The following is an 18,509-nucleotide window of genomic DNA, read 5'->3' on the forward strand; positions in this document are numbered from 1 at the left end:
TACAAATAAAGGAAGAAAGAAAGAAAAGAAAGAAACCTGGGTTGAGCATACTACGTGATGACCCCTTTGCCTTCAGCGCATGGACCAAATCTACATCATTCTTTTTTTTTTTTTTTTTTTTGAGACAGAGCCTTGCTCTGTCACTCAGGCTGGAGTGCAGTGGTGCCATCTCAGCTCACTGCAATCTCCACCTCCCGGGTTCAAGCAATTCTCATGCCTCAGCCTCCCAAGTAGCTGGGATTACAGGATTACCACACCCAACTAATTTTTGTATTTTTAGTAGAGATGGGGTTTCACTTTGTTGGCCAAGCTGGTCTCGAACTCCCGACCTCAGGTGATCTGCCCACCTTGGCCTCCCCAAGTTCTGGGATTACAGGTGTGAGCCACCACACCTGGCCTCTCCTGACCTCAAATAAACTTCTGGAAAGAGTTGACTATCCTGGGCCAGGCATGGTGGCTCATGCCTGTAAACCCAGCACTTTGGGAGGCTGAGGCAGGTGGATCACTTGAGGTCAGGAGTTCGAGACCAGCCTGGACAACACGGTGAAATCCCATCTCTACTAAAAATACAAAAAACTAGCTGGGCGTGGTGGTGGATGCCTGTAATCCCAGCTACTTGGGAACCTGAGGCAGGAGAATCACTTGAACCCGGGAGGCGGAGGTTGCAGTGAGCTGAGATCATGCCACTGCACTCCAGCCTGGGCAACAAGAGCAAAACTCCATCTCAAAAAAAGAGAAAGAGCTGACTATCCTCATTGTTTTCATTATGTCCTCCTTACCTATCAGCAATCTAGCTTGCCTACCCTCCACTCCATCAAAACTGCTCTCAGTATGTTCCAGTAATCTCCTAATTACCCAATGCAACTTCTAATCCTTATCTTCCTGGACTGCTCTGAACCATTTAGCATGGAACTAAACTCATTATCTCTCCCCTTCCCAAACATTCATTCTCCCTTACTCTCTCAGCTAGTGGCACCATCATTCATACAGTGACCCGTGATGGAAAGCCACCATAAGATAATTCTAGCTTGGACTTGTTGAGTTTGCAGTGCCTTTGAGACATTCAAAACAAAGATGCCCATTGGGCAGTTAAACATGTGAATTAGATGCCCAAAGTTTGAGATAAGATGAATGCTACAGAAGTAGCATTTAAAGCCATGAACATGGATGAATTTGCCTGGCCCACAGAGTACAAGTACCAGGTCTTTAAATCCCAGTTGACCCATAGAGACTAACCTGTTATGTGATTTTCCTTACTTCTCTGTTGATTCCCCATTGCTCACAACTCCTTATCATGGCATGAAAGTTTCATCACAATCTGCACTTATTGCATCTATATAATGTGTATCAGTTAGCTTTTGCTGCAGCCATGCTGCATAACAAACAACCCCCAAATCTTAGCTTTTGGCCACAAAAGTCTATTTATTTTTCACATAACATATTAGTGCCCAGAAATCCCTATTCCTGAGGTCATTATTCCAACCACCATTTGGTTCTTTCCTTCCCAAGCCCTGGCCCATAATGGTCTCCATATCACCATCTCCATATCACCATATCCCTATTCTGCCCTGACTCATGTTATTTTCTCCAAAAACTCTTAAAATTCAATCGTAAAAAATAGAAGGTAGGCCGGGCGTGGTGGCTCACACCTGCAATCCCATCATTTTGGGAGGCTGAGGTGGTCAGATCACAAGGTCAGGAGTTTGAGACCAGCCTGGCCAACATGGTGAAACCCCAACTCTACTAAAAATACAAAAGAAAATTAGCCAGTGTGGTGGCAGGTGCCTGTAATCCCAGCTACTCAGGAGGCTGAGGCAGGAGAATCGCTTGAACCCGGGAGGCAAAGGTTGCAGTGAGCCAAGATCATGCCACTGCACTCCAGCCTGAGTGACAGAGCAAGGCTCCATCTCAAAAAAAAAAAAAAAAAAAAAAAAAAAGAGAGAGAGAATCGCTTGAATGAACCTAGGGGGCAGAGATTGCAGTGATTCAAGATCCCACCATTCCAGCTTGGGAGACAGAATGAGACTCTGTCTCAAACAAACAAAAAAAAGAGTTGTCAAATCAAACACGTAAGATTTGTAGGTTTTACAACTGGGCATGGTGGCTCACACCTGTAATCCTACCACTTTGGGAGGCGGAGGTGGGTGGATCACCTGAGGTCAGGAGTTCGAGACCAGCCTGGCCAACAGGGTGAAACCCTGTCTCTACTAAAAATTAAAAAATTAGCTGGGTATGGTGGTGCACGCCTGTAATCCTAGCTACTTGGGAGGCTGAGGTGGGAGGATTGCTTTAATCTGGGAGGTGGAGGTTGCAGTGAGTCAAGATAGCATCACTGCACTCCAGCCTGGGCAACAGAGGGAGACTGTCTCAAAAAAAAGAAAGAAAATAAGTTTTACATATCCAACCTAAAATAAAAGGAAAGTACAGGGCAAAGAGTACATTCATTTCAGATAAAATTATATTTATGAGTTTATACCTCTATTAATGTCCAGTCCCCTACTGAAAGCTGCCCCCTCCTTCGGTTGTTCTCCCCTCACCTCTGCCCCGTCTCCATGACATTTGTCCATTAGCCATTTTTTAGCCATCATGAGAGGTGATGTAATGGAAAAAGCACCAACCTTAGAGCCAGAACTGCATTCAAATCCTAGCTGCCATTTAGTTGCTGAGTGCCCATATGTTTCTTGGTCTCTCTCAGCCTTCCTTTCCTCAACTAGAAAATGGGTTAGCCTGAGGGGCTGCTCAGCCCACAGCCCCTCAGGCTCCAGTCTTAGAAGGCTGGACGAAGGCAGGGACGGGCGCAGAATGGGGACAGAGACTGAGTCCGTTCTGACATAGAAGTAGCAACAAGAACAAAAGCAGGGACACAGGCAGGTACCTAGTCTACTCAGTTGGGCCAGGGAACCTCATTATTTTTTACCTCAACCTGTGAGACCAACTCACATAAATGGTCCCACTAAAGGTCTGGAAGTGCTCAGAGGATGAGATTCACAGGCTTCTTCTCCCAGAAGGGCCAGAAGGCAGCCCTGTGGCCCTGGAGTTGGAGTGTAGGAGAGCTGGTGGTAAGAGCTGGGGAAATGGCTGCTCAGAGCCACCATGGCCAGACAAAGGCAGCTCCTAGCCTATGATTTAGGGGACAGGTCTCCTGGTAAGGTGTGGCCACTAGAGAAGTTTGCCCAAATCACGTTGCACACTTCTGGACCTCAGCTACTCCACCAAAAACTGGATCAGGTTGGATCTGAGCAATCTGACATCAAAAACGTTCTCAGGAGTTTCCCAATACATAGAGGAGATAAAGGAAGAACAGAACTGGTTCTGTCTGAAATAAGATAGGGAAGGGGCCAGAGCCCTGTCCTCTAGGTTCCCCTCCCCTACCATGGTGGCCCTTGAGGCAGGATGCCGGGCCTTACAGGACAGAGTTGAAACTTCTGGACTGGGCAATCCCTAGGGACTCGTTCAGCTCTGCCTTATTCAGTCATTGAGCACCTGTTACATGTAAATGAGATAACTTAGATCCACATGCTGCCCCCATCTGGTAGAGGAGGCAAAATTCACCCAGATGTAACTCCGAAAGAGGTAGAAAGTGCCTGATGTAGTCAAAGAAGCACAGAAATGCAGCAGAATAACCCTGTCCTCCACACCCCCCACTCCCAGAGCCCTCCTTCGCCATGCACTTGCATTTCCTTACTCAGAGACTGGAAGGAAGGTCTCCAGTAGTATCCTTATTTCACAATCGGGGAAACTGAGGCTCTGTCTGGGAAGGTGGTTCCTTACTGGCAGCAAGCGGCAGGCCAGGGCTGCACCCTACATCTCCTGCTTCCTCAGACACGCCTGTTTCCAGGTAAAGGAAGGAGGCAGCCCGGCCTGCTCAGGAGCCCGAAGGAGTGCAAAGGAAGAGCAAAGCCTCAAAACACCTGCCTCGGGTCTCGGTTCCTTCCTGCCGGAGGAGCGGCTCTCACACCCTCCGCGCCTCCCAGTCCCTCCCGGCCGCCACAGCGGGAAGATCGAGGAATCTCAAATCCCTCTGCTTCTCTGGCTCTTTGCGCGCTGACATTTTTTTCTTCTTCTTTTTACTGTTTTTTTTTTTTTTACTTTCTTCAAGAGTTTGTGCAATCATTGTGTTTAGCCGTTTTCCTGCCATTTCCAAACGCGGGGTGGTGTCCTTTTCGAGTAGGAGCAAGGTTTGAAGAGTTGGAGGAAACTCCCGCCTCCCATCGCCCCAGTGCTGCAGGCACCCCGGATGCCAAAGTTAGTGTCGGAAACTTTCCCCATGCTGGGCGTCTGACTGAGTCCTCGGCTCTCCGAAGCTCTCTGACATCTCCCTCTCTATTCCCTTCCTCCTTGGGGTTCCTGCGACCCTCACTTTATCCCCCCACTCCCAGATTCCCCTTCCCAGAGGCGCGCCCTTCCTATCTTGTCCTGGGCAAGAGCCATTCCTCTGTCCTGCCCCACAGGCAAGGACAGACCCCTCACTCACTGCGACTTACTTGGTCGCATCCTGTGTCCCCTGCGTCTCCCCTCTCTTCCCCCACCCCAACCCCGCGGACCCGTGGGGGAACCTCAGCTTGCAGCTCTTCAGGCTCCAGTCTTGGAAGGCTGGACAGAGGGAGGGACGGCCACAGGATGGGGACAGAGGGACAGAAACTGGGTCCGATTTGGCACCGAGGTAGCGACAAGAACAAAAGCAGGGACACAGGCAGGGCAGACACCGGGCAGCGCCGGAGCAGCGGCCCGCCTCCACTCCCTCACCACCCTCTCCCAAGCGCGGAGCCCCCCGTCCGTGTCCTGCTCGTGGCCTCCGGGGACCTGGGCGGCTCCCCGCGGGACCCACCTGATCCGCAGAACCAGGGCGCCGAGGGCCGGCGCGCGGTGAGCTGGGCTGAGCAGGACCGCGCCCAGCTCCCGGCCCCGGCGAAGCCCTACGCGCTCTGATCAGCCACCGCGCCGCCTCCGCCCGAGCGGAGGCGCGTCCTCCCGCCCGTGGGCCGGCCGGCCGGGCTTCTGCTCTGGGCAGAGCGCAGCGGGTAGGGGCGCGAGGAGCCGGCGAGCGCTGACAGCGGGCTGCGCCAAGCCGGTCCCCGCCCCGGACACAGACAGCTGGAAGGCCGGCGAGCGAGTGCGTGAGTGAGAGTGTGTGTGTGCCGGGGAGGCGGATAAAATCCCCGGTGAGAGTGGCTGGGCCTCTTTTGCCTTCTCGGGCCTGCACGTGGTGGTGGTGGTGTAGGTGATAGAGCAGGAACCCCGGGCGTTGGAGGATGGGGTGGGGTCTGTGCTGTGCTGCTGGGAGGGGCTGCGCTGCGCTGGCGCACGGCCAAACTCTGGGAAACTCAGAGCCTTGGAGATCTGATCCACCGTTTGTTTCCCGAGGAAGGAAGAGCGCGAATGTAGACAGCGGCAGGCCGGGGCTGGAGTCGCTCTTGCGAGAGTCCTGAGCTCTGGAAGTGAGGGCTGGGCGTTGGGCACCTGGTTCAGGGTCTGCCCGCGTTTGCGCACTGACTTCATGATCTGTGAGCCCAGAGTGTCTCAAACGGGGCTCTAAGGCAGCCCCTAGGCTGTGGAATAACTCTTTAGTAGAATTATGTAGAAAGGAATCCAAACATTCGATTTCAGAGTGTGCGCTTCTGTGCCCAGTGTGGCAGCAATTCACTCAGAGAGTTGCTGTGGCCACAACTGGCTGCCCTCAGTTCTCTTGTCTTATACTGATAGCGACAAGGTCTTCTCACTCCCGCTCATATCAATCTACTTTACAGGTGGAAAAGTCAGAACTTCATTTTGCCATTTGCCGTTGAACGTCATTTTCATAGACTAAGAAATTCGCTTCTTAAATAATTCGGCCGGGCGCGGTGGCTCACGCCTGTAATCCCAGCACTTTGGGAGGCCGAGGTGGGCGGATTGCTTGAGCTCAGGATTTCCAGACCAGCTTGGGCAACGTGGCGAAACCCCGTCTCTACAGAATATAGAAAAATTCCCCAGGCCTGGTGGCGTGCACCTGTAATCCCAGCTACTCGGGAGGCTGGAGACTGAGAAAGAAAAGAAAAAATAAAAAATAAATACAAATAAAAATCAAACTGCCAGGCCAGGCGAGGTGGTTCTAGCTTGTAATCCCAGCAGTTTGGGAGGCCAAGATGGGTGGATTACCTGAGGTCGGGAGTTCGAGAGTAGCCTGGCCAACATGGTAAAACCCTGTCTCTACTAAAAATACAAAAAATTAGCTGGGCATGGTGGCACACGCCTATAATCCCAGCTACTTGGGAGCCTGAGGCAGGAGAATCACTTGAACCCAGGAGGTGGAGGTTGAAGTGAGCCGAGATTGCGCCACTGCACTGCAGCCTGGGTGACAGAGCGAAACTCAGTCTTAAATGAATAGACAAACAAACAAACAAAAAAATCAAACTGCCATGAAAACTACTTTACCCAAAATTTTAGTTCACAGCCTTCATTGGATTATCTATTGGGGCAAACAAAGTAAAACCAGCGAGCTTGTATTGCTATCTCATGGCTACAGTTCCAAGCTATTGGATCTTTGTTTGTGTCGGTATATACATGTCTAGATGTGTTTATTTGTAGGTACACTTACTGTTATATCTTGTGCCTACCAAATTGGCATATAAATAAAAGAGTGCTCATAAATTAACTAAATAAGTCTAAGCAATTTTCAAGTTCATATGACTTAAGTATAACTTTAATAAACAGGCTGGTTTTAAAATTATTGGTAAAATAGAAATGCTTTCAGAATTGTCAGCATACATTTTTGTCTGGACTTTATATTTGTCTCTGCTAAATACTTTGAGGTGTCAGAGTTTGGCATAGAAGGTTATAAAACTATAAACCCAGCCAAAACAAAATGATCTTGGTTTGCGTGCTTTTTTTTTTTTTTTGACAAATGAGAGTTAATTTAATACTATTAGCTAAATCTTCTGAGTTGTTGGCAAAAATAGCTATGTATTTAACTTTGATATCCTTCCTTATGTTTAGGTGAGCACCTGATGCTCACTGGCTATTAAAAACATGGTTAGGCCGGGCACAGTGGCTCACGCCTGTAATCCCAGCACTTTGGGAAGCCGAGGTGGGCGGATCACTTGAAGTCAGGAGTTCAAGACCAGCCTGACCTCCACCTACTGGGTTCAAGGGATTCTCCTGCCTCAGCCTCCTGAGTAGCTGGGACTACAGGCACATGCCACCATGCCCAGTTAATTCTTTTATTTTTAGTAGAGACAGGGTTTCACCGTGTTAGCCAGGATGGTCTCAATCTCCTGACCTCGTGATCTGCCTGCCTCAGCCTCCCAAAGTGCTGGGATTACAGGCATGAGCCACTGGAATATTCTTAATTCATGGCAATGTGTTTGTTTGCATACAGTCGAGCAGCATCATTTGGGCCGCTCAAGGAGAAAGAACCCAGAAACCTAACATGCCAACAATAGGGTAAGAATTTCTTTCTTTTTTTTTTTTTTTTGAGATGGAGTCTCGCCCTGTCACCCAGGCTGGAGTGCAATGGTGTGATCTCGGCTCACTGCAACCTCTGCCGCCTAGGTTCAAGTGATTCTCCTGCCTCAGCCTCCGGAGTAGCTGAGATTACAGGTACCTGCCACCACACCCGGCTACTTTTTGTAGTTTTTAGTAGAGGTGGGTTTCACCATCTTGGCCAGGCTGGTCTTGAACTCCTGACCTCGTGATCCACCCACCTCGGCCTCCCAAAGTGCTGGGATTACAAGTGTGAGCCACCGCGCTGGCCTAGGGTAAGAATTTCCTACCAGTTGGACTTCTGGCCCCTCTCTCTCTCTCTGCAAACTGGTTGAATGACTTATAAAAGATTATAATAATTCATGACAATGCAAATTTTTGTAAACCTTTTACATGTTTGGTAGCCTTCCCAGGATCACATTTCAGTTCTGAGGTTGTCTTTTTTTTTTTTTTTCCTTTGGGACAGAGTCTCGCTCTATGGCCCAGGCTGGAGTGCAGTGGCATGATCTTGGCTCACTGCAACCTCCGCCTTTCATTTTCATTACATCTCTGCTTTTGTTGCTTCATTTTTTCCTTGCTTTGTTTCTGCATTTTTGTCCAATTCTTTGCTCAGAATGCCAAGAACCTACACACCCTCCACCGGTAACACTTCCTTTTTTTTTGATATGGAGTTTCGCTCTTGTTGCCCAGGCTGGAGAGCACTGGCTCGATCTCAGCTCACTGTAACCTCCACTTCCCGGGTTCAAGTGATTCTCCTGCCCCAGCCTCCTGAGTAGCTGGGATTATAGTTGTATGCCACCATGCCTGGCTAATTTTTGCATTTTTAGTAGAGACGGGGTTTCGCCATGTTGGCCAGGCTGGTCTCAAACTCCTGACCTCAGGTGATCTGTCCACCTTGACCTCCCACAGTGCTGTGATTACAGGCTTGAGCCACCACGCCTGGCCTAACACTTCTGTTAAGCCCACCTGGAGCCTACTACTGGTAGGCCCTCCCCAGTGACTTGGATAACCACCTCTTGCATTTCTTGCATTTCCTCTTCCCATCCTCTCTCACCCTGTCCTCCCTCTGTCCTCCCCTTTCTTCCTCAGATTCTCCATGTCAGAAACACCAAGGTGAGGTGGCCTCTGGCAGGCAGGGTTTGGAATGCACTTCCAGAATGTTCTTGGCAGGGAAAATGCCCTCCTTGAGATCTTGGTGGGGAAGAGAAATGTCAGTAACAGTGAGCTGGGAGGCAGGGGGAGGATCGATTTCCCCAAAGTCTGATGAGCCTTTTTCACAGAAATACCAGATAAAGGAAGTGCAAAACTTCCACAGAACTAGAAAAACACACAGCCCAGGAACCCTGAGAGATGGCCAGTCCCAGCCCTCAATTTATAGATGAGGAAACGAGATCCAGATGGCAGTGACTTCCTCACAATCACAAGCTTGGCATTTGCAGAGCTAGGTTTTGTTCCCATAGCTCTCTCACTTGCTTCTCAGCCCCACGCAGGTGGGGAAACTCCTAGGTCTTGGGGGCCTGGGGGGAGGTGTTTTAAAGAAATTCCCAGGAGTGGTAAGGTTGGTCCGGAGAAGCAGAAGGGAACGTGAGAGTAGAGTCTTGGAGGAAGTGGAATGAACAGACAGCATTTGGAAGGGGTGCGGGGCAGGGAAAAGTATGTGTGCCCTGGCACGGGAGAAGGACCGTGAGATCCCTGCAGGAGGACATTGGGCCAGAGAGGCCAGCTGAGGAGTCACAGCAGGGAGGCTTGGAAGGGGAAGACCAGGGGTTTGCATTTTATATTTTTTCCTTTTTTTTTTTTTTCTTGAGACGGAGTCTTACTCTGCCTTCCAGGCTGGAGTGCAGTGGAGCAATCTCAGCTCACTGCAACCTCTGCCTCCCGGGTTCAAGTGATTCTCCTGCCTTATCCTCCTGAGTAGATGGGACAACAGGTACTACCATGCCTGGCTAATTTTTGTATTTTTAGTAGAGACAGGGTTTCACCATGTTGGCCAGGCTGGTCTCGAACTCCTGACCTTGTGATCCGCCTGCCTCGGCCTCCCAAAGTGCTGGGATTACAGGCATGAGCCACCACACCTGACCTGTAAACCTTTTTACACTTTCAGATTGTTGTTCCATGAGAATGTCTTATGTATTTTTAAAATTAAGTACATAAAAACAATTTTAAAACACACATTTAAAAAAGCTAACGTACCAGGTCTTCTCGAGAGTTTGCATGTTATCTTCTGGGCATTAGAAATAAAATTTGTATGTAGTAGAACAAGCCTGAGATAATCCACCTAGCTTCAGATTCTTTTTTTTTTTTTTTCCTTGAGACAGGATCTCTGTTGCCCAGGCTGGAGTGCAATGGCGCCATTTTGGCTCACTGTAGCCTCAACCTCCCAGACTCAAGCGATCCTCCCACCTCAGCCTCTTGAGTATTGGGATGACAGGTGCATGCCACCACACCTGGCTTTTTTTACGTTTTTAAGAGACAGGGTCAGGTCAGGCACAGTGGCTCACGCCTGCAATCCTAGCACTTTGGGAGGCTGAGGCAGGTGGATCATGAGGTCAAGAGATCGAGACCATCCAAGCCAACATGGTGAAACTGCATCTGTACTAAAAATACAAAAAATTAGCTAGATGTGGTGGCTCATGCATGTTGTCCCAGCTCCTTGGGAGGCTGAGGCAGGAGAATCGCTTGAACCCGGGAGGCGGAGGTTGCAGTGAGCCGAGATCACACCACTGCATTCCAGCCTGGGCAACAGAGCTAGACTCCATCTCAGGGGAAAAAAAAAAAAGAGAGAGAGAGAGTGACAGGGTCTCGTTGTGTTGCCCAGGTTGGTCTTTTTATTTTGTTTTGAAATGGAGTCTCACTCTGCCGCCCAGGCTGGAGTGTGATGGTGCGATCTCGGCTCACTGCAGTCTCTGCCTTCTGGGTTCCAGCGATTCTCCTGCCTCAGCCTCCCGGGTAGCTGGAATTACAGGCATGTGCCACCACGCCCGGCTAATCTTTTTGTACTTTTAGTAGAGACAGGGTTTCACCATGTTGGCCAGGCTGGTCTTGAACTCCTGACCTCTAGTGATCCACGCCTCGGCCTCCCAAAGTGCTGGGATTACAGGCGTGAGCCGCCGTGCCCGGCCAGCAACAGCCATTCTGATGACGGTGTTGCTCACTATGAAAGAGCTCGTCTATCTCTAAAATGGATTCATAGACCCTGTCTCTCAGGCGGATCCACGGGGACTGGATTAAGGGGCTGCGGGTGCTGTGCTGGCCCACAGAGAGCTTGGGTTTTGTTTTCCCGCTGTTGTAGAAAGAAGACCCCTTGGCTGAGCCAATCTGAGCTGCTGAGTATTGCAAAAAGGGGAGATTATTTGGCTCAGGAAGGAATGGAAGACATCCCACCCTCGGCGGGGAGCTTAAGCACCCTCCCTACCAAAGAGAGTATACAAGCCCTTTGCATTTCTAAGTTCCTAACCTTCCGGATAAGCCCTGAAGCCTTGGGTCAGAGAAAGGGGCAGAATGCATGCTTAATGTTTCTGGGGGATGAAAAGGAGAGTTTCCCCTGGGGGGAAGGGGCAGTGAGTGGGCACCGCAAACCCCCAGGGCACCAGTGGCTGAGCTCAGCACTGAGAGATGAAATTGCTGGCTGAGCCCCCATGCTTAGAAGGATCACGGTGGCCTGAACCAGAAACTGGGTGATATGAGGCAGCCACAGTGGATAGATACAGAAGACTGTCACCCAAGCAGTGCCACACAGCAGCTAGCAGCATGGCATTGGCGGTAGGGAAAACATAAACAGCGGCTTCTCTCTGTGATGCCTGTATCCATCCCCAGCATCCCTGACGACACAGCACTTCCTGGAGCAGCTGGTTTTAATTTAACTTGAAGAATGGAGATGGAGTATGATTTGCTGCCCAGTGAGTGGAAGGGTTAGGGTTAGGGTTTGTATTTGTCAGCAGAACTTAGAAGAGAGGGCTATGAGTCCCTGGTGAACACCTGGGGGATCAGGAGCAGGTTACATTCCCCAACTGGAACCAGGCACTCTTTGCCCTGTCCACTTCTGCTGGCTCTCAGCATCTCAGGCCTCTCGGGAAATTCAGAGACCCGACTATCCAGGAACAAACCAGACCTAGGCAAGCAGGAGGCCTCAGGGCAGGACTCGGACCCCAAAACACATGTCTGGCCCTAGAGCAAGGCTGATGGGGGAGGAGGGAGGGAGAGGCCGAGCAAGAGCAGAAGGAAATGAGCTGCACACGTCTGCAAAGGCTCAAAATGACTTTAGCATTGCCAAGACAACAAGAGGTTCAAATGTCCACAAATTATGTTTATCGTGCAAAAAACCCATTTTTTCCCACATTGGAGATGAGGAACAGCAAGCCATGATGTTAGGGGAGCCAACTGGAGTTCTGTACAGAGAAGGCTGGGCCCCGATTGACTAACGCCTGTAATTCCAGCACTTTGGGAGGCTGAGGCAGGTGGATCACCTGAGGTCAGGAGTTTGAGACCATCCTGGCCAACATGGTGAAATATAAAATTTTTAGTCTGTACCAAATTTAGTTAAATTTAGTTAATTTAGTGAAATACTAAATTTTTAGTCTGTACTAAAAATACAAAAATTAGCGGGGCATTGTGGTGCACACCTGTAATCCTAGCTACTCGGGAAGGTGATGCATGAGAATCACTTGAACCCAGGAGGCGGAGGTTACAGCGAGCCAAGATTGAACCATTGCACTCCACCCTGGGCGACAGAGTGAGACTTCATCTAGGGAAAAAAAAATGCTCTGTACAGAGAAGCTAGAGACTTCTTGTCTCTGAGCCTCAGTTTTCCCATCCATAAAATGAGGATTATAACATTTGCCAGATAGGGTTGTTGCGGGGAATTAAAATAAATGGAATATACAAGCAGTTTAGCATCATTGTCCTCATTATGACTTAAGGAGTGAGCATGTTGCTCTGTGCGGGCCTTTTTTATCTGCATGACCTCATTCAGTCCTCACTATGGTCCTACTAGACAGATGGCAGAGCTGGAACCCAGAGAGGTAGAGTGATTTTCCCAGGGTTGTTCAGCTTTACAGTGGCAGAGCCTGACCTGAAACCCAGGGAGTGTGACCCCAGCTTTCAGGCTCTGGGTCTCTTCCACTACTTCTTCTTTAAATAATAATAATAATTGTTATTATTATTTTAGAGACAGGGTCTCCTGCTCTCAAGTGATCCTCCCGCCTAAGTGCTGGGATTACAGACACGACCACCGCACCCGGCTCTCCCGGGGCTTCTGATCCAAAGCAGGTTGTTATCCATGCTCAGTGTAAGGTTGAAATCTATAGTGGGAATACAAAGACAGGAAGAGTCATTCTAAGAAGGGTTCTTGGATGGGGGCAAGATTTGAGCTAAAATTTTCCAAGGAAAAGCAGGATATTAGGAGGAGGAAAGTGGGACAGAGGGGAGGCCTTGCTAGGCAGCAGCTACAGTTGGAACAAAGTCGGGGCAGTGGAGACACAGGAGGCATACTGAAGAGTCGCAGGAAGATTCAGCCTACCGCTGAAGCCTCCATGGCAGAGAAGTGAGCAGGGGCTTCCCAATTGGAGCTATTTCTTTACAAAAAGGAGCTGTCATTTTTCTTTTCTTTCTTTTTTTTTTTTTTTTTTTTTTTTGGCTGGGGGGACGGAGGCTTACTCTGTCACCCAGGCAGGAGTGCAATGGCGTGGTCTCAGCTCACTGCAAGCTCCACCTCCTGGGTTCAGGCGATTCTCCCGCCTCAGCCTCCCAAGTAGCTGGGACTACAGGCACATGCCACCATGACCGGCTAATTTTTGTATTTTTAGTAGAGATGGGTTTCACTATGTTGACCAGGCTGGTCTTGAACTCCTGACCTCGTTATCCTCCTGCCTTGGCCTCCCAAAATGCTGGGGTTACAGGAGTGAGCCACTGTGCCCGGCCGTGGAGCTGTCATTTTTCTTCCAGGTCCCTTCACAAATCCATCAGACTGAAGTGCCATGTGGGCAAGGACTGGCTGGGTATCCTCTGCTGTTGCAGCCCCAGTGCTTAGCACAGTGTCTGGACCATGGTAGGCACTAGACATTTGCTGAATGAATGGAAATGGGAGGGTATGTATTCTCGTCCATTTCTTATTTTTGACAGACTTACTCCTCTGTGACCCTACAACCTTGTCTCTCCCTGCAAAGAAATCAGACTGAAAGTGGAGTGGGGGTGGGAATTAGGGGAGGGATATGATGGAAACCAGCCCCACTGACAAGCATTTATCTCAAGATACTGAAGCCACAGCCAAATCCCTTTCCCAGCACCTGTTCACTAGGGTGCATTGGGAGCCAATTCTCCAGTGGTTTTTCAAGTCTTACAAGCAGAGCCACTGACTGCCTTTTGTTCTGGACTACCTTTCCATGCAAATAGCCTTGGAAGGCAGAGCCTGTGGCTCTCTGAATTAAAGGGCAAGCATGCTTACTGCCCTTATAAAAGATTATAAAAGATTTAGGTTCTTCAAATCAGTGTCAGTCTCTTGTAATGCAACACACTGTGGGTGAACTCATACAGCTGAACTCATCTGTGTCACCCATGTCGAGTTGCCAGTTAAAATACAAGACTTCCCCTTCAATTTGAATTTCAGATAAATAAAGAATACTTTTTTTAGGAATACTTTTTTAGTATATGCACATCCCATGCAATATTTGGGACATGCTAAAAATGTATTCATTGTTAATCTAAAATTCAAATCCAACTGGGTGCTCTATATTTTTGTTTTCTAAATCTGGCAGCCCTACTCCCGTGGGACTTGGGGGTAAGAGGAACTAATGCAAATATGTTGATACTTATGCTGCTTCTCATGCTGTGAGGAATAAAATCTTTTGTCTCTGACCCAGGAATCTTGTGTGTTCTGTTAGCACTCAAGTTAGCTACCATGTAGGGTAAAATCTTATGCTCTCCACAGTTCTTAGTAGATATCCCCAACCTAAGCTTGGAGCCTGGCATAGATTTGACTGTGAAATATATCTGTAGGATGAGTGGTTATCAATCCATAGGAACTGCCGCCAAGTACACAGAATTCCTCAGAGATTGGGAATTTGTTACTGGTGCTTTGTGCGCAACTTTACATCTCACTAACGCATTGTTGTTACCATGGTTACTATAACTATATCGTGCTTCATAGCTTCCAAAGAGCATTCCATGCATTTCCTCATTCAGTTTCCCAATGACTTGCTGAAATATGTGTGATTATTCTTACTTTAGGAATTAGAAATTGAAGTTCAGGGTCAAGTGTTTTTTTTTTTTTTTTGAAACAGAGTCTCGCTCTATTGCCTAGGCTGGAGTGCCATGGTACAATCTCAGCTCACTGCAACCTCCGCCTCCCGGGTTCAAGCGATTCTCCTGCCTCAGCCTTCTGAGTAGCTGGGAATACAGGCGTGTACCACCATGCCTGGCTAATATTTGTATTTTTTAGTAGAGACGGAGTTTCTCCATGTTGGTCAGGCTGGTCTCGAACTCCCGACCTCAGGTCATCTGCCCACCTTGGCCTCCCAAGTGGTGGGAATACAGGTGTGAGCCACCGCACCCGGACTTTTTTTTTTTTTTGAGGTGGAGTTTTGCTCTTGTCACCCAGGCTGGAGTGCAGTGGCGTGATCTTGGCTCACTCAACCTCTGCCTCTCAGGTTCAAACAATTCTCCTGCCTCAGCCTCTCAAGTAGCCAGAATTACATGTGCCTGCCACCACGCCCAGCTAATTTTTGTATTTTTAGTAGAGACAGCATTTCACCATGATGGCCAGTCTGGTCTCCAACTACCAACCTCAGGCAATCTGCCTGCCTTGGCCTACCAAAGGATTACAGGCGTGAGCCATGGCGCCCATTCCTCCCCCCTGCTTTTTTTTTTTTTTAAGACTCATTAAGACATTTTGGAAAATGCTTAGAGGCAAAACATTACTTGAAATTTATTATTTTTTCCTATTTTTAGCAAAATGACGCCTTGATTTTTGGCACAGGAAATGAAAAAGAACACCATGAAGGCCACCACACTGCACAATTCCAGAGGATGTTGCAGGACTAGCAGGGATCCCAATGGGCACCATTCACTGTGCTCCATGTACTCTAAGTCAACAGTGCCTCCTGGAGTTGTGCAAGGTAGTAGCCTTGGCAGCATTGATTACCTAAAAAGAGGTGTTGAGACAGAGCTGCTTGTCTCCTTGTCTCTGGGGCCTTTCGCATATTTCCCATAAAGCCTTTTTTTTTTTTTTGGTGAGACAGAGTCTCACTCTGTCACCCGGGCTGGAGTGCAATGGCATGATCTCGGCTCACTGCAACCTCCACTTCCCAAATTCAAGTGATTCTCCTGCCTCAGCCTCCCAAGTAGCTGAGAGTACAGGCATCCACCACCATGCCTGGCTACTTTTTGTAATTTTAATAGAGACAGGGTTTCACCATGTTGACCAGGCTGGTCTCGAACTCCTGGCTTCAAGTGATCTGCCTGCCTCGGCCTCTCAAAATGCTGGGATTACAGGTGTGAGCCACCGCACCCGCGCCAGGCCCCATAAAGCATGGAAGGCAAATTTTTCCAATGGCAGACAGCAGTGAAACCACATTTAGCCTCTTGAGCCAGAGGAAATGCAGTGGAGGCCAAACTCCCCCACCATGTAAAGAGGGGAGGGAGCATTATCTGCCGTTAGAGCTAGCCTCAGGATGCAGCGGAAGCAGCTGCTGACTGAGTTTGACATACGGTGAGCCAGGCGGGCCCTGATGCCCTTATCTACTCTCCTGCCAGCTCTTCCAGGGCCTGAAAACACCAACCCCTTCAGCCTGTGGATGCTTTCCAGCCTGCAAGCCTCCCAAGAAAATGTAATTACCCCTCACCCCCAAAGAAAGACCCCCTTGGATCGCACTGTCCCCAAGTACTCAAGGGTGATATTAGTCAGGGTATGGCCGGAGGGTATAATACCTGGGACGTTAGCAAATGTTGCAAGAAAAAAACGGTTTCATGCTTATGTAAGTTCAGACAATCTGCATCCTGCACATTCTCTGAAGAGAGTCACAGTGCATGCTAAAGTGCTGAGAAGTCCTGGGGAACCAAGACTTTGACTTGTTAGAGCACAGAGTGTCTATTTATATCCACCCAGCATGGGAAATGCTGGGCATACGAGATCTGGTCAACAACTCATTAAGAACCAGGCTTGCAGCCAGGCGCAAAGGCTCATGCTTGTAATCCCAGCACTTTGGGAGGCCAAGGTGGGCAGATCACAAGGTCAGGAGATCAAGACCAACCTGGCTAACACGGTGAAACTCCGTCTCTACTAAAAATACAAAAAATTAGCCGGGCATGGTGGCGGGCGCCTGTAGTCAGCTACTCGGGAGGCTGAGGCAGGAGAATGGCATGAACCCGGGAGGCAGAGCTTGCAGTGAGCTGAGATTGTGCCACTGTACTCCAGCCTGGGTGACAGGGCGAGATTTCATCTCAAAAAAAAAAAAAAAAAAAAAAAAAACCAGGTTTGCAGGGATGGACCACGGGGGCAAGACAGATGTTCTGTAAAGTACATAACCATGTGGTTCAGATGTCAGGCAGGCATGAGTTCAAGTTTTGCCACTGTGATTTAGAACTATACAGTCTTGAGCAGGTTACTGAATTTCCCTGACCTCAAGTTTCTTTTTTTTTTTCTTTTTTTTTTATTTTGAGATGGAGTCTTCCTTTGTCACCCAGGCTGGAGTGCAGTGGCATGATCTTGGCTTACTGCAACCTCCCCATCCTGGGTTCAAACGATTCTCCTGCCTCACCCTCCCCGAGTAGCTGGGACTACAGGTATGCACCACCATGCCCAGCTTATCTATTTATTTATTTATTTTGCATTTTTAGTAGAGATGAGGTTTCACCATGTTGGCCAGGCCGATCTCGAATTCTTGACCTCAGATGATCCGCCTGTCTTGGCCTCCCAAAGTGCTGGGATTACAGGCATGAGCCACTGCTTGTGGCCAAGTTATTCTTTACTTTCGGATGCTACAACATCTTCTAATTTCATCTATATTTTCCCTGTTCCAATCCTGGAATCAACCATTTCTTCAAGAAAATGGAGGAGAAATTCTATGGAGTCCTTATTTCTTTTATTAGGGAACAGTATTTGAAAGTAAAATCTAGGTGCAGAATGTCCTCATTGTTGTTGAGGTGTCATGGATTCTAGTCCCTCTCCACAGACAGAGCTAGGGACTGTGTTTCTGTGTACTCATATGCCAATTGTGATGGTTACCTTCATGTGTTAACTTGACTGGGCCAGAGATGTGTGGTCATACATTATTCTGGATGTTTCTATGAGGGTGTTTTTGGATGAGATTAACATTTAAATTAAGCCAGGTGCAGTGGCTCATGCCACCGGGCAGATCACCTATAGTCAGGAGTTCGAGACCAGCTTGGTCAACATGGTGAAAACCAATCTCTTCTAAAAAATACAAAAATTAGCTAGGCGTGGTGGCGCCTGCCTGTAGTCCCAGCTACCTGGGAGGCTGAGGCAGGAGAGTCGCTTGAACCCAAGAGGTGGAGATTGCAGTGAGCCAAGATCATGCCACTGCACTACAGCATGGGCGACAGAGTGAGACTCCATCTCAAAAAAAAAAAACTTTTTAGTGGACTTGAGTAAAGTAGATTGGCCTCCATCATACGAGTGGGCCTCGCCCATCAGTTGAAGGCCTGAACAGAGAAAAATGGCCCACGAGCAGGAGGGAATTCTGCAACAGATGCCTTTGGATGTGAACTGCAGCATTGGGCCCTGGGTCTTAGTCTGCCAGTCTACTCTCAGATTTTAGACTTGCCAGCCTCCATAATCGCATGAGCCAATTCCTTAAAATAAATATATTTCACTCTATATACACATCCTACTCGTTCTTTTTCTGTGGAGAACTCTGACTAATGCACACACAAACATTTCTCTCTCTTTTCTTTTGTATATGCACATGTATATTGATATGGTTTGGATCTGTGTCCCTACTAGCATTAGTCCATTTTCACGCTGCTGATGAGACATACCAGAGACTGGGCAATTTACAAAAGAAGGAGGTCTAATTGGACTTACAGTTCCACGTGGC

The 18,509-nt window shown here is 48.7% G+C and overlaps 1 protein-coding gene across 7 annotated transcripts in view, besides 2 other annotated features; it reads right to left on the bottom strand.

Annotated features, from left to right (window-relative positions):
- Positions 1-5,023, bottom strand: part of GGTA1 (glycoprotein alpha-galactosyltransferase 1 (inactive)) — a 54,855-nt gene extending 49,832 nt beyond the window's left edge. For 6 of the 7 annotated variants that reach the window (NR_168461.1, NR_168459.1, NR_168460.1 and 3 more), the window contains exon 1: positions 4,829-5,023. The gene's annotated coding sequence lies outside the window, so the exon portion shown is untranslated. Of the gene's footprint in view, positions 1-3,685; positions 3,890-4,828 lie in introns of those variants that run through there. The other variant, NM_001382587.1, reaches the window with a different exon arrangement.
- Positions 3,329-3,623: a silencer, noted in NCBI's record as "tiled region #3911; HepG2 Repressive DNase matched - State 25:Art". NCBI's record gives its function as "represses a minimal TATA promoter and a strong SV40 promoter by Sharpr-MPRA in HepG2 cells {active_cell/tissue: HepG2}" and the evidence as "EXISTENCE:reporter gene assay evidence [ECO:0000049][PMID:27701403]".
- Positions 4,973-5,072: a silencer, noted in NCBI's record as "silent region_20236". NCBI's record gives its function as "represses an Ori minimal core promoter by ATAC-STARR-seq in GM12878 lymphoblastoid cells {active_cell/tissue: GM12878}" and the evidence as "EXISTENCE:reporter gene assay evidence [ECO:0000049][PMID:35858748]".

Source organism: Homo sapiens, chromosome 9, assembly GCF_000001405.40.
Source record: "Homo sapiens chromosome 9, GRCh38.p14 Primary Assembly".
In the NCBI taxonomy this organism is placed as follows: domain Eukaryota; kingdom Metazoa; phylum Chordata; class Mammalia; order Primates; family Hominidae; genus Homo; species Homo sapiens.